Source organism: Homo sapiens, chromosome 2 (genome assembly GCF_000001405.40).
Source record: "Homo sapiens chromosome 2, GRCh38.p14 Primary Assembly".
NCBI classification, from domain to species: domain Eukaryota; kingdom Metazoa; phylum Chordata; class Mammalia; order Primates; family Hominidae; genus Homo; species Homo sapiens.
This window is the reverse complement of record NC_000002.12, coordinates 72,747,603-72,763,272: the sequence shown is the minus strand read 5'-3', so window position 1 is coordinate 72,763,272 and position 15,670 is coordinate 72,747,603. Positions and strand designations below refer to the sequence as shown.

General features: G+C 36.4%; 1 protein-coding gene and 1 non-coding gene across 12 annotated transcripts in view, besides 1 other annotated feature; one reads left to right on the top strand and one right to left on the bottom strand.

Annotated features, from left to right (window-relative positions):
* EXOC6B (exocyst complex component 6B) overlaps nucleotides 1-15,670 on the top strand; it is a 650,050-nt gene that overhangs the window by 62,761 nt on the left and 571,619 nt on the right. The gene's annotated exons all lie outside the window — the stretch shown is intronic.
* LOC124900538 (small nucleolar RNA SNORD78) lies at nucleotides 2,671-2,739 on the bottom strand. Its single transcript, XR_007088729.1, has one exon. It is a non-coding gene; the product is annotated as a small nucleolar RNA SNORD78 (small nucleolar RNA).
* Nucleotides 11,367-12,211: an enhancer, noted in NCBI's record as "OCT4-NANOG hESC enhancer chr2:72978191-72979035 (GRCh37/hg19 assembly coordinates)". NCBI's record gives its function as "activates a minimal SCP1, AML or CMV promoter by ChIP-STARR-seq in naive and primed H9 embryonic stem cells {active_cell/tissue: H9 hESC(naive and primed)}" and the evidence as "EXISTENCE:reporter gene assay evidence [ECO:0000049][PMID:30033119]".

The window sequence follows — 15,670 nt, the reverse complement described above, 5'->3', positions numbered from 1 at the left end:
AATGGAAGTATACTCAATTAATTATAAAGAAAACAGGATAAGAGGAGATAATTTATGTTAACACAATTACCTATATGACTAGGTTTAACTCTGTTATCTTGCTGTTTGTTTTTTGTTTGTCTTATCTTTTTTTTTCTCTTTATTTCTCATTTCATATTCTCCTTAACTGAATTAGAACAACCAAATATTTTTAAAGATTCCATTGTTAGGTATACCTTCTTAGTGTTTTTTGTTTTGTTTTGTTTGTTTTTAGTGGTTGCTTTAGGGTTTACAGTATGCATCTTTAACTTATTGCAATGTATTTTCAAATGCTATTGTACGTGTTTGTATATAACATACAATCCTTAAAACAGTGTATTTTCATTTCACCCATTGATCTTTGAGTTATCATTAATTATATTTTACTTCTACATGTGTTTTGAATTCCATAGTTCATTATCATTATTTTTGCTTTGAACAATCAGCAATCTTTTTTTAAATGTTATCTTTTAAAACATTTTAAAATAATAATAATATTTTATATGTTCCTATATATTTACCAGTTTATTTGCTCCTTATGCTTTTGTGAAGATCCAGATTTTGAACAGATTTTATATTATTTTTGCCTGAGGAACTTACTTTAACAGTTTTTATAGTGCGGGTCTGCGGACAACAAATTTTCTAAGGTTTTGCTTTGTTGATTGATATGTTTGCTAGGTATAAAATTCTTGATTTACAATTTTTTTTTTTCCTTTAGCACTTTACAGGTATCTTTCCATTGTCTTCTTCTTTATATAATTTGGATGAGAAGTCTGCAGTCATTCTTTCTTTGTGTTTTATGTGTTATTTTCTTCCCTCTGCTTTTGCTTTTAAGGTTTATTTTTCTTTATTAGTGTTTGTTAGCAACTCCAAGAAGCCTTTTCTGACTAATCCATTTCTGTGCTGAACATTCCTTTATTTTTCATGCTATATCACCTAAGTGTAACAGATTTAAATGTATTACTTTATACACAGGTTTTTTCTTCTTTTCTTTTCTTTTTTTTTTTTTTTTGAGACGGAGTCTCACTCTGTTGCCAGGCTGGAGTTCAGTGGCACCATCTCGGCTCACTGCAACCTCTGCTTCCCCAGTTAAAGTGATTCTGCTGCCTCAGCTTCCCAAGTGGCTGGGACTACAGGCACATGCCACCACGCCCAGCTAATTTTTGTATTTTTTGTAGAGATGGGGTTTTACCATGTTGGCTAGGATGGTCTTGATCCCTTGACCTTGTGATCTGCCTGCCTCAGCCTCCCAAAGTGCTGGGATTACAGGCATGAGCCACCATGCCTGGCTTTTTTTCTTTTTTTTAAATTTGAGATGAGCAGTATGTTGCTCAGGGTGATCTTGAACTCCTGGGCTCAAGAGAACCTTTGACCTCAGCCTCCTGAGTAGCTGGGATTACAGGCATATGCTACCATCCTTAGCTCCTGAACAGTTTTATAATTACTTTTCATTGTGGTTTCTTATATATTTCCTTACTAATTATAGTATGGGCACCCTCAAAGGAAGATATTCTTTTCTTTTTGTTTTTAGTAAATTCTCAGTCAATAGATACTAAATGAGCCTATGGCAGGAAAATGCCCAAACCACCTAACATAGCCAATCTTGTTAAATTTCTGAGAAAACAGTGTCTATTTAATTTGCTGAGGCCATTTATTTTATTATTTAATAGTCAAATTTATCTTGCCCTTTAAAAGTCTATTTTAGTTTGATCTATTTTGAACATTAAAAAAAAAGATGCTGCTGCTTTCCCTCTTTAAATAAATAATCAAGTTACCTTATAAATTGGAGAGCTAGAATGTGGTGGTGATATTTCATAGCTTTTGGAGAGTGCCCTAAATGCAATGCTTTGGAGAAGTAATTTATTGGCAAGCAACTTTGTTTCTTAGTGATGATTGGGGTCACAGTAGATCATCACTTTGTTGAGTTTAGAGTTCACCTGTGTAGAATATCAGATTCTCTAAAGAAGTTATACAGCCCAAACCAGATTGATCTATTGATAATGGAAGAGTAATGAAAATGTACAGTAGGCCTCAGGTAGATATCTAACAAATTTTAATCATATGTCTTTTTTTTTTGAGACAGAGTCTTGCTCTTCAGCCAGGTTGCAGTGCAGTGGCACAATCTCGGCTTACTGCAACCTCCTCCTCCTGGGTTCAAGTGATTCTCCTGCCTCAGCCTCCTGAGTAGCTGGGATAATAGGTGCACACCACCACACCCAGCTAATTTTTGTATTTTTAGTAGAGATGGGGTTTCGCCGTGTTGGCCAGGCTGGTCCTGAAGTCCTGACCTCAGGTGATTCACCTGTCTCAGCCTCCGAAAGTGTTGGGATTACAGGCATGAGCCCCCCTGCCTGGCATCATATGTCATTTTTGAGAGAAGTGAAATTTGCTTTCCACAGTTACCCATTGTAATTTTTTAATTCCTTGTATTGAACTAATCATGCAGTTTTAGTGGTCTCTCTTTTCAGAAAGATGTCTCTTAACATGTTAAGCTTTATCTTAAAATATTTGTATTGTTGGTTTAGTTTTTCCTCAACTTTTATGGTTTGAGTTTTGTTATCACTTGTGTTAAATTTTATTTTCATTGCTCTAGGACCATTTTTTCAAATAAATTCATGTAGATCAAGGTTGTTTCAGGTCTTTTTTCTTTTCTTCTTCAGTGTTAAATTAACTTGTCTACATGCTCATTTCAGGTCAGACATTTGATGAACATTATTACATGTTTCACGTTTTAGTCGTACCATTCATAGTATTAAAAACAAAATCAACTTAGTATTATTTATGGAGTTTAACATATAGTTGATTTCTTGATCTAAGTAGAAAGTAAAATTATTGAATAGAATGGACACTAAGATGACTTCATGTAGAGACAGTTGACAAAAGTGAAGTCTTCCTCTAAGTCTGTGACCATCAGTAAACTAACACTGTCTTGAAACCTAAAAGGTTATGTAGCAAAGCTTACTCTATGATATGCCAGGGAAGTTTGCTGGGAGTATGATCCAGATCATTGGTTCTGGATGCTAACATTTGGAAATGATTTTTTTTGGTGGAGCATCTGTGACCTTGGAACTATGAATTATCTTAAAATTTCTTTTCAAGAGAAGGAGCATATGAGAGGAAGGGTAAACAAAATATTTTGTTTATAATTTGCTATAACAATGATTTAATACAGCTTAATATTAAACAGCTCTGGAGACCTAAAATTTATCTCACTTGGTTTTCACTGGTGTTTCTCTCTGACACATGGTGTGAATCAACTGTCCTTCCAACTTGAAAGAGCAGAGAGTTCACTGACGCAACTCCCTTGTTCTGGGAATTGTTACTACTGTGCCTTCAAAAGGTAGGGACATTAAAAGCTTTGGCTTGTGGCAAATTCTCTCCAAGTTGGACACAGTTAGGGGGCTGAATATTGGCTTAAGGAAGTGAGGTTGGTGGCTTTTTCTATTTCCTGGACTTTTTCTAAAGAATCAATATTAACTTTTTCAAGTCTCTACTTGATGTTTTGTGATTAACAGTCTTCCCCGTTAAAATTGGAAACCAGCAAATCTCCGTTTAAATGTTGGTGCATGCCAGGGTTCTTCAGTTCTTCTGTCTTAGATTCTAGAGTTTTTTGGGTTTCTGCCCTTTCCCACGTGGATTTTTTCTTTTGTGAAAATCTTTCTGTACCTACTTAACAAAGGGAAACATTGAAATGAAAAGTTGAAATGGCAAAGTCATTGTCCCAAAAGGTCTCACAAGACTGGAAAAATGAACCATAGTTAATAGTAGTAAATTGTAGATTCAGAGTATCAACTACATGCCTATAGCAATATGGAAAAACACATGGAAAAATTTTATGACTCTGAGTTCAATATATAGCATGATATGACTGTCAAAACTGCATAAGCATTAGTATTAGGCTGTTAATAGGAGCTAAGTAACAAGGTTAAAGGAGATGGGCCTTATTTTTCTCATTTGACCATGCTTGATTTAAAAATTTTTAATATTTATAGAATGCTTTCTGTATGCCAGGTACTGTTCAGAATTCTTACATTATCTCATTTAATCTTCACACAGCAACTGTATGAATTGGTTCCTACCATTATCTGCATTTTGCTGATGTGGAAACTGAAGTATACAGAGGTTTAATAAACTTGCCCAAGATCACACAACTATTAAGTGGTAGAACTAAGGCTCAAATCCTGAAAGTCTGGCTATGAAGCCTGTGTTCTTGCCCACTGTGCTATACTGCCTTTGTTGTTACACTTAAAGAAAAGTGACTGCTGGAACATGTCCAGAGGGTAAAACTACAATTGAAAGGCTGTTTATATGTAGAATAGTTGAATAATTTGAGATTGTTTAGTCTGGAGAAGGAGAAAAAGGGATCAAGGACTTGTTCTCACTGGTCCTTTGAAGGCAAAAATAAGATAAATGGTGAAAATTATAGAAAGGTAAGTTTTAGTTTTCTATAAGAACTTTGCAACAGCTGTTGAAATGGGATTGGTTGCTTTGCAGTGAACTTCTTTTTACTAGAGATGTTCCAGCAGAACTTGGACTAGTATTTATGGACATAGCTGGAAAATTTGTTATGTCTGTGAAATTGGGCTGGATCATCTCTGAGGTTCCTTTTTTCCCTGTACACTTCAATGTTAAAGAGTTTATTAAAATGGGCTAGTCTATACTGTCCTCAGACAAATGCTTCTAGAAAAAACACACAAAATTGTTTCCTAATGGAAACATGGCACCTATGATGTGAGAGGAGGGGGACCAGATTTATTTTTGTCTAAAATGTTTCTTTGTAAATAGCTTTATGATGTTTGTAGGGAGTTTTTTTTTTGCATATCTTGTAAGTGGACTAGGAAGCAAAAGAAAGTGGCTTACTTTTTCAGTTGACAAATCAAGTTATTTAGTAATAGAACAGAGATTCCATCATAATAACCATTGAAGCTACTCTCTTCTTTCCCCTTCCCATTTGAGGGATAATAAAATAACATTAACTTATGGGTTCTGTAGTTGCAGTGGAAGGGATCTAGGAATCTGCTACATCAATTCTCAAATTAAGAATTTCAGGATATCAAATATATGTACTTTTTTTTTTTTTTTTTTTTTGAGACAGAGTCTCACTCATTCTGTCACCCAGGCTGGAGTGCAGTGGTGCAAACATGGCTCACTGCAGCCTCGACCTGTAAGGTTCAAGTGATCCTCCCTCCTCAGCCTCCTGAACAGCTGGAACCACAGGCACACACCACCATGCTCAGCTAATTCTTATAACCTTTTGTAGAGATTGGGATCTTGCTATGTTGCCCGGGCTGGTTGCGAAATCCTTGGCTCAAGCAATCTTCCTGCCTCGGCCTCCCAAAGTGCTGGGATTACAAGCATGAGCCACTGTGCCTGGCCCATATGTATGTTTTAAAACCATTTTGATATCATGATTAATTACAAGAGGAAGTTAGAATATGGAAAAGACACTGAATTTTAAAAATTCTGACCAGTGGTGATTGCTTCTTGGGTTTGTGAGGGATCGATCCTGAGAAGGAGTTTTCATTTCATTTGTCAACCTAAAAAAGAAACTCAGAGAGATAGGCTGTCTAGAACAAAAGAGTTTATTTGGTAATAGCAAAGGCTTGCAACCTAGGGTGTACATGCTATGAAAATCATGGGCCCACATGAGGAAAACTGGGACAAACTGGAAATTTTTAAAGACAAAGAGAAATTTACACAAACTGCTTTGAAACAAAGCTCATTGGTCTCAGGGACACATTGCAGGGGTTGGCACTAATTCATTTGGGGAGATAGCTGTTGCTAGGCAACTGTCCAGGTCTGAATGTCTTATCTGAAATACTGTAGGCCAGAGGAAATTCCTGTGATAATCTCTGTTTGCTCTGTGTACAAGTACTAACAAGATGTCCAGATATTTCAGGAATGCAAGGGAGAGAGTTTCTTTATGGCCTTCCCCGACTTCATTTTGGTTAAAGTTTTGACATAAGTGACTCCATTTTGTTATTGTTAACCGCCACATTATTGTTTTAAGCATTTATTTTATTTTAGATAATTATTGAAAATTAGACTTGTAGTTACACTGAATTTTTGTTGTTGTTTGGTTTTCATTTTAAGTAATATTTTATTGAGCATCTACTATGAACCAGTTACTATTCTAGATTCTTAAATGCATTTTATTTTTTCAGTTGGAAAAGCAATACATGTTTATTTAAGTAATAGATAAAGTAATACAGAAATAGAAAAAATTCAGAATTGCATCATCTAAACATTGTATTAGTTTGCTGGTTTTCTTTCTGTCCTTGATTGTTTTCTATAGAATTGAATTAAAATATTTGAACATATTTATCTTTATATTGAATGTGTATATAGTTTTACATCTGTTTCTTCACCTCACCTTCCTTCTTACTCTCCTCTTCCTCTTCCTTTTACTCATCTTCCTTTTCCTTTCCCTCATCCTTTTTCCTTCATTTTATTATACTTTATATAACTGTGGCAACCTGGGAAAGGTAAATGCTTCTATGTACTGGCAATGTGAAAAAGGTTGCTTCATGTGCAAAATGATGATAATAACTATTCTGCTAGGATTATATTTGGGGAATAAGTGAGTTAGTGAATATAAAATGTTTAACAGGATTTGGCACGTATTTTAAAAATGCTTACTTTTACTACTATTTTATAATTTTGGGCTGAATTTAACCTTTAATGGTATGGATGATAGTGCAGTAATAAAATAGCATAGATTAAATTACTGGGTGGTCAAATAATTGGTCTCTGTTTTTGTTTGCTTTTCATATGAGTTGGTACTATAAGTAACTTTTTTCTGCTAATGTTCTTGAGCCATCACTCCAAACTCAGAAATATATATCACAACTTTTTTCAGAACCATGATTAGGTTATAAATCGACTTAGCTGTCCCACATGTTGTGTGGCTGGATTTCCCTACAGACATCTATGATAATCATTTAATAGAATGCTTAATCCAGGCCAAAATAAAGTAATGAAAAATTTTGAAATACCAGGACATTTAGCATTGTCCTTTGTTCAGCTCCCTATGACTCTGCATTACAGTGTCTAGGTTTGGCATGGGACTGATGTTTATCATTATGATACAGAGTTCTTGGCTACTTTTATGTTTTACCAAATATAAATCTTTAACAGACTCCACCTGACAACCCCCGCCCCAACACAGTTAAAAACGTCCCCCTTAAAAAAAGATTTTGCCAACAAAATGTTTCTCTCCTTTGAGAGTTAACTTTGTAATTTGGAGCATATAACCATGATGTTTGAGAGCTGTCTGTTTCCATTGTTGCAGCCTGATTGTCCATGGTTTAATCATCAGTAGTTAAGAAGTAAAGCCAAAAATGGCTCCAGGCTGCTCAGTACCATAAAAAATTTCCACCTGGAAGCAATTTTTTCTAAAAGCCCGTAGGGACTGCTGTCACCCTCCCCCTTCTGTTGGCAACAAGGGCCAGAAACATCAGTTCTCTTCAGAGCCAGGTCTTGTTGCAGTTTAATCATCTTCCTTCTCCTAGCTTCCAGAGGAGGTTAGAGGAGAGCTAGGGAAATAACAAATTATTGCCAGACACTACTCTCCTCCTACAATAGATTTCCTTTAGCCATCTAAATTTCTCCTTTCTTCCTCTGTTTCTTTCTTTTTCTGTTTAACATTTTAGCTGAAGTGCAAATTATTTGCACTGCTAGAACTTGAATTAACTTTTTGGTAAAAATATTTATTATTGAACTCTAGTGCTTCTCTTTGGGGTAAGATGAAATGTTGAAACATTTTTGGGCACTGCTTTGGCTCTTTGTCACTTTATAATGCTTTCTCTGTGGGATACAGCCATTGTTCCAGGTGTAAACTCTCAAGGAACTCATGGTCTTATAGGGGAGATAGACATGTAAATAAATCATTACTGTATAGAGTGTTCACCGTAGTACCCTTTCAAAAATATGAACAAATAAACATTTCAAAGCAAAAGGACATGAACTGTGCTTTCCACCAGTAAATATCATTAGTAGTGGTGCCCATTCATTTCTAGGCCCATTATCCTAATGTAACTTCTGGATAATACTAGGCATTTGTTCAAGAACTTTGAGGCAAAACAAGATGACAGTACTCCTGGTGAAATTCACCTCAAACCACATATGGCTTCATAGGTTCAAGGCCAGTTCAAATTTATACAGTGTCAAAGTGAGAGCCAGTTGGTGAATGATTATACCATGACTGTTAAGGAGTAATTCTTATCCTATATCCTTATCATACACTCCTTATCAAGGATAGGGCTAGGTGCTTCAATAGATTTTGTTTCATTAAAAAAAATAGATTTTTAAATATATTCCTTATCGAACTAGACTATGAGCAGGCACTGTGGCTCACACTTGTAATCTCACCAGTTTGGGGGGCCAAGGTGGGAGGATCGCTTGAGCCCAGAAGTTTGAGACCAGCCTGGGCAACATAGTGAGACCCCATCTCTGCAAAAAAAAATTTTAAAAAATTAGCTGCTTGTGTTGGTGCATGCCTGTAATCCCAGCTACTTAGGAGGCGGAGGCTAGAGGGTCCCTTAAGCCCAGAAGCTAGAGGCTGTAAGTGAGCCATGATTGTGCCACTGTGCTCCAGCCTGGGCAACAGAGTGAGATACTGTCTCTAAAAAAAAAAAAAGAAAAAAAAAAGCTATTAAAAAAATGAAATACATAGAACTAGACTAATACATGCTGCAAGAGACTGTTATTGTAGATTAAATTTGGCTGGGTGTGGTGGCTCACACCCTATAACGCCAGCACTTTGGGAGGCTGAGGTGGTAGGATTGCTCGAGGCTAGGAGTTTGACAGTACCCTGGGCAATGTAGCAAGACCTCATCTCTACCAAAAAGAAAAAAAAAGAAATTGGTGTCATTTGGGAAAAGATGCCTCATATCAGCAAGTAGGAGAAAAATGGTATTGAATTTGAATCTTTAAAGAATGGACTCATGATCTTGTTTGGTATAAATTCCTCCAGAGTATGCAAGCTTAAGCTCTTCGTGGCTGCTTTGGTTTTATGAACCAAAGCAGTTTCTTGTGTTCTACCTTGTTGGTAAGAAGAGCAGCTTCTGAGCTGGGCATGGTGACTCTCACCTGTAATCCCAGTATTTTGGGAGGCCGAGGTGGGAGGATTGCTTGAGCCCAGGAGTTTGAGACCATCCCAGGCAACATAGTGAGACCTTGTCTCTACAAAAAAATGAGCTAGGCATGGTGGTGCCTGCCTGTAGTCCCAGCTACTCAGGAGGCTGAGGCAGGAGGATCGATTGAGCCTGGGACACAGAGTGAGACCCTGTCTCAAAACAAAAACAAAAACAAATCCTAAAAACTAAAAAGGTAAGGAGCTTCTGTATCAGGTTATAGTAGTTGTATTAAGGAGAGACGTTTTAGGAAAGAGTTGAGTTTTGAGCTGAACCTTGAAAGATGAGTAGGAATTTGCCAGAGAAGTGATGGTAAGGACATTGCAGGCAGAGGGAATACATGCTACACTCAAGGAACTTCAAGTAGAGTTGTAGAGTGAATGTGGGGAGTATTCAGAGATAATGCTGGACATGGAGGGCATCTTACATACTATGCTAGGGACTTTGGACTTGATCCTGAAACAAGATCCTGAAGTTGTGTGTATGTGTGTGTATTTCTGTCTTTCAATTTCCAAGTACAAGGTCTCATTTAAAAAATTACTGTCAAAGAAGTATTGAAGATGGATTGTTACGAATATAAGGGGAAAGTGATAAAAACAGTGTTCAGAAGAGAGATGATAAGGACATGAGTCAAGGCAGTAGCTGGGGAGAATAGGGAGGGGAAAGAGCATAGAAGAGCCATTATTTAATTAGAAGCGGTAGGTCTTGGTGACTAGTTATGAGGAGGTGTGAGGTGAAGTGAGGTGTCAAGGTTAATGTACATATTTCTAGTTTAGGTAACTCAGTGGCTGGTGTTATCTTCAATTGAGATGGTGAATACTAGGAGTGAAATGTGGGTTTGGGTAGAAAGTTAAATTCTTTTTTTTTTTTTTTAATTCAAGAGACATGCCCCTTGCCATATTATCTGGGCTGGGTTTGAACTCCTGGGTTCAAGAGATCCTCCCATTTCAGCCTCCTGAGTGGCTGGGACTATAGGTACATGCCACCATGCCCAGCCGAGTAGTTTTTGACATGCACGGTTTGCGATGTCTTTGAGTCAGGTTTATAGGACTTGACAGAGATATATCCTGGTATTATTGGTTTGGTAACCAGACTTGTTTAATACTAACAACTGAGGTATTGATGAGATCTCTGAGGGTATATATATATGTGAAGAGTGAGAAGAAGTGGTCAAGGAGGTATTCAGGGGTAGAGGGAAGAAGAAGAATTATTGAAGGAGACTGAGAATGGGGAGAACCAAGAAGGAGTGTAATAGAAGCCGTGGGAATAGAGATTTTAAAAAGAGGGGATAGTTCATGGTGGCACATACAAAAGTGGAGTCAAGTAAATGATGAAATTAAAAGTGAATATTTGATTTGACAATTAATAGTCTTTTATTGACTTTAGCAAGAATATGTTCATTGTGAGTGGTTATAGGTAAGAAACAGATTACACTGGTTTGAAGAGCGAGTCTAATTTGAGGAAATGGAGGCAGTAAGTATAGTGTGCTCTTTTAAGATCTTAACTGAGAAAAGGCAGGGGTGAGGGAGGGAGGGAAGAGGGAAGGAGGGAGAGAGAGAGAGAGAGAGAGAGTGAGAGAGAGAAAGGGAAGGGAAAGGATGCCAGAAGGAAATTTATCAGAAGAGAGATTTTCATTTAGTGCATTTTTTTTTCTTTAAAATAATGGGCTGTGTTGTTTTGTTAAGATGGGGGCATGTTTCGAAAGAAATCAGCTTCCCCCCACCAAAGAAAGTATTGATGGAATAACCTTCCTGGAGTGGAAGATATATGAGATTTTTAGAACATAGGATTAGTCTTGCATTGAGATGACCTATCTATTTCATAGAGATAAGAAGGAACAAATATCAGGGTAGACAGAGATATAGACAGATTTGTGTATTGGAATGCAAGAAGTTAAGAATATTTTGTGCCTAATAAGCCTGAATTTTTTAAATGTAATACATGACAACACCATTTATTGTGAAAGGCAGTTGTAGGATTGAGATTGGCATCTTAAAGAGAATGGTGACAGTTTGGAAATGATGCTGTAAGTAATGGAAGAATGAGCTGATAAAAGACATACCAAAAGTTTGCATGGGTCTAGGGGTCCATATATTTATATAATTAGCTCCATCATAGCAAGCTTCTGCATGCTACCAAAGTTTAGCTATGAAGAGAAGGGATAAATAGGCAGCCAGTTCTAAATGTTTGATAGATGTAACTGAGCAGAGATGGGGCTGCTTTTGGTAAGGCTTATGTCTTTTTATTTTGAGGATCACAACTTCATTACATCTTTTATCAATTCTAGGAACTTCACAACTATTTTAAAAAAATTTTACCTGCCTCTTATTTCTTACTGGAGCTCCCATTAAACCCATTGTATTCTCCATTCTCTTCTTTAGTGTTTTCCGTCTTTCGTCTTTCTGCATTTTGTACTGTTTATATATACACCTCCTAGTTAAGTATTTTCCTTTCCATTTCTTGTTTCAAATAACAGTTGTTATAGTTTTTATTCTAAAAGTTCTATATTTCATTTCCAGATTATCTATTTGTAAACCAAAAATAAAATTTTAAGGTGCCCCCACCATCTCAATGGACCCTTCCTCTCGGTCAAGGGCATTCCAGAGTTAACCTGAAAATCTAAGTCTGATGAGAAACATTTACAGTCTATTCTCTCTGCAGCCTGCTACTTGGCGGCTTCATCTGCATGATAAAACCTTGGTCTCTACAACCCCTTATTGTAACCCAGACATTCCTTTCTACTGATAATAACTCTTTCAGCCAGTTGCCAATCAGAAAAATTTTAAATCTACGTATGACCTGGAAGCCCTTCCCCACTTCAAATTGTCCTGCCCTTCCAGATCATACCAATCTAAATCTTACATGTATTGATTGATGTATTATGTCTTTCTAAAATGTATAATAGCAAGCTGTATCTCAATCAGCTTGGGCACATGTCATCAGGACCTCCTGAGGCTATGTCACAGGTGTGTTCTTAACCTTGGCAAAATAAACTCTGTAAGTTGACTGAGACCTGTCTCAGATATTTTGGGTTCATATATTCATTTTTGATAGTTTTTTTTTCTTTTCTTGGTAATTCCTTTTTATATTTCTTTAAACATCTTACACATTTATTTTTAATGTATACATATTAATTTTAAGCCATTGCAAGCCTGATTTTGCTATTTGTGTTTCTTCTGATTCTTGTTTTTATACTTTGTTTCCTTGTATGTTTTATGACTTTTGATACTTAAGTTCCAGTTCAATGGAGTATTATTTGTGAGAATTCCTAGAAGTATAGGTTAAGGTATATTTCTCTGGAGAAGATTTGCCTTTGCTTCAGTTGGTTATTTGAGGGTATTAACAACCATGCTGGGACTACTTTAAAAATAAATTGTCAGTTGAGATTTCTCAGACCACAGAAGATTGATAGTATGAGTGTAGACCTCCCTTCTGTGAGAAGGCTGGCATGTGCTTTCAAATTATCATGGGAGTTTTCTCCTTCCCTCACCCAGAGCTAACACCAGATAGGCAAGTTTACTTGCAGTCTCCCTTTATGAGGAAGTGTTTTTCTATTTTATCTTTTACTAATGATGTATTCTGGGGTATCTTCGCTTCATTCATTTGAAGGCCTCTGATTTGACTCCCCATCTTGTGTGGGCAATAGGCCATGTCTCTTTTTCTCTGTATGGCTATAAAATAGAAGCATTAGGTCAGAGGTGATTAGAGAGATTAGGTTAGAGGTGGTTAGAGGTGATTAGGAGTTTGATAGTAGAAATGTTTTTCACAGTGTATCCAATCTTCCATACGGTTCATGGAACTTCATCCTATTTTGCCTGCTTTGTTCTTTATTATGTTTTAGGATGGAAACTACTCTGATGCCTTTCCATCCATCCTCTTTCATGTACTTAATTGCTTATAGAGTTAAAGAGTTTTAAATTGTGGTCACTTTTGGCCATGGGGTATCAGCAAACAACCACTTACGGGTGAAATTGGACCAGGAGTTGAATGTGGTGTTGTTAGGTCTGGTTCTTTCTCAGAAAATTAGAAAAAAGTGTGTGTGTGTGTTTGTGTGTGTGTAGGTATGTGTGTGTGTGAGGTATGTATATGTATATATGTGTCACCCACATATATAGCATATATACTATATATAATACATGCATTTATATATATAGTATACATAACATATACATCTACAAATGAGGTTACTTACATTTATTAGGGTTTGATTCAGAGATTCTAGGAAACTTGCATGGTCTATTTTGTTAAGTCCACATTAAATCTACATGCATAAGTGGATCATGGCTATTCACTGCTGTGTTTCTACCATACTAGTGTTAACCATTATTGGTTTGTCTTTCTCTGTTAATAGCTTAATGATACCTATCATCAGAACCATAATGATAATTTTAAGTGTGGAGACCGAAGTGTTCCAAAAATTATTCATTTTTCTTTTTTCTCTCAGTAGAATCATGTTTCAATACTTAATACACAGTCTCTTAATATTTGCATATGTCTTCAGAGTAATTATTTAATTAAATATGTAGGGTGGTGCAAAAGTAATTGCAGTTTTGTGATTTTTTTAATGGCAAACATTAAAAGTAGTGGCAAAACTGCAATTACTTTCCGCTTTAATGGCAAAAATTAAAAGTAATGGCAAAACCGCAATTACTTTTGCACCACCCTGCTACTGAATATCTTTTGTAAAGAATCTGGAAGAGTTTTATCAACATGCCCTAGATTCAGACTCATTATGTTGATGATAGATACTAAGTGAACTGGTCATTTCATCTAGCTCCAACATCACATGTTTAAGTGTTAAACTTAACACACTGAATTACATGCAGTGAGACCAGAGCTAACCTACCAAGTGTATTATAACTCCTAAACAACTGTATTAGTACTCTGCTTTCAGCAGTTTTCTAGGTTAGAGTCAATAAGTATCACCAGGCTGTAGAGGTACTTTTTTATATCTTATCTTATAATTAGCAGCAACATTCATGATCTAACTTTTATCTGCCAGATTTCATGACCACCACTGAAAGATACAATGAAATAAAATCTTTTTGCACCTAACACAAATAGATACAAAGGACAAAGTGAAGCCACTAATAATCCTGTTTTGCCTTTATATCTTCAGTTACTGTTGGTGATTACTTGTTCTAATAGTGTGACATTATCATAGTAGCAATTATGGCAGTCTCTATGTTCTTAATTTGGAGTTTCCTTGTTTTCATTAGTTTATTTCCTAATAGTCTGTTGTTGATTTGACTGATGTTTTGGGACAATTCCCCCTTCTCCACTTTCCTGTGGTATTTAACCAAAACCAGGTTTTAGTAGGCCCTTTGGCTAGGTGTCAGTTGAAGCTGCTCCACCCTGCTTTTATTCCTCTGGAAATAGCCATCATTGGGGTTCCCTTCCTGCCTTGAGAGAAATCTGCATCACAGCATTCTTTTGGTTATATGGGCTATCTTTGTGTGAAGCCAGTTGGATACCTTGGTATCTTCAGAGCTGGAAAAAGGATTTGAATGTATTTGATCTCCTGTGGCAGTACAAAAATATTTGGGTATAGTGTTCAGTTAGAATTCATGTTAACTAGCATATGCTTCTCCTGTCATTGATGATGATCTGATTGATCTCCTTCATCGTTATGCACCCAGAGCATCCAGATTACAATACTAAGGTTGGAATTAAACTGATAGACAAACTGAAGTAAGGAGAAGGGACTTTAAACTCCTTTTGACCTCCTGCAGTTTCTCTTTCAACATCATGCACAAATCTGTTTTTCCACTTTATTTTTAACATTTGGAATAAACAAAAATACTAATGATGCTTTTATGGAGCTTAATGAGAAGAAAATGTTTGAGGAATAAAACCATGACAGAAGTTTAAAAACATATATATGAAAAAGAAAAGACCAGAATAAACTCTGGAATTTTTCCTTGAATTAATCAAAAACAAAAACCAAAATGTTCAGTTCATTGTGTCTTGAAGTTCTCCGTGGTTCTGAAAACATCTCAACAGAAATGCTTTGTATCATGGGATACACTTTTGCATCCACCTCTGAAACAACTAGAAATCCTCATCAGTTAGTCTCCTACCTTTTTCCATCTTCATCTTATATGGAGGACCTCCTCTGTGCCAGGCTGTGTGCCAGCAGGTAGAGATAAAATGGGTAAGACATAGTCTCTCCCCACAAGGAGATTAGCATTCTAGTATGGGGAGATTGGCAAGTGAATGGACAATCAGATATAGTTTAATAAATTCTGTAAAAATGATAATCACCGAGGAGGAGCACATAATAGAATCTATGTGATTAGGGAAGGTTTCCCAGAAAAGGTGCAAGCTGAAAATTGAGAGGCAAATGGGAGTTACTCTTAACTAAACTAGAAGCAAAAGGAGAAGAATGGCCTAGGTCCAGGGAACAAGATTGCTTTGTAAAGTGTGTAGACTCTGACTTGCTCTTGGTTGTTTCTTTGATTTGCTTGTTACCTTTGAAGACTGAACAATGTTGCATCATTTAGGATACTTTCCTTTGC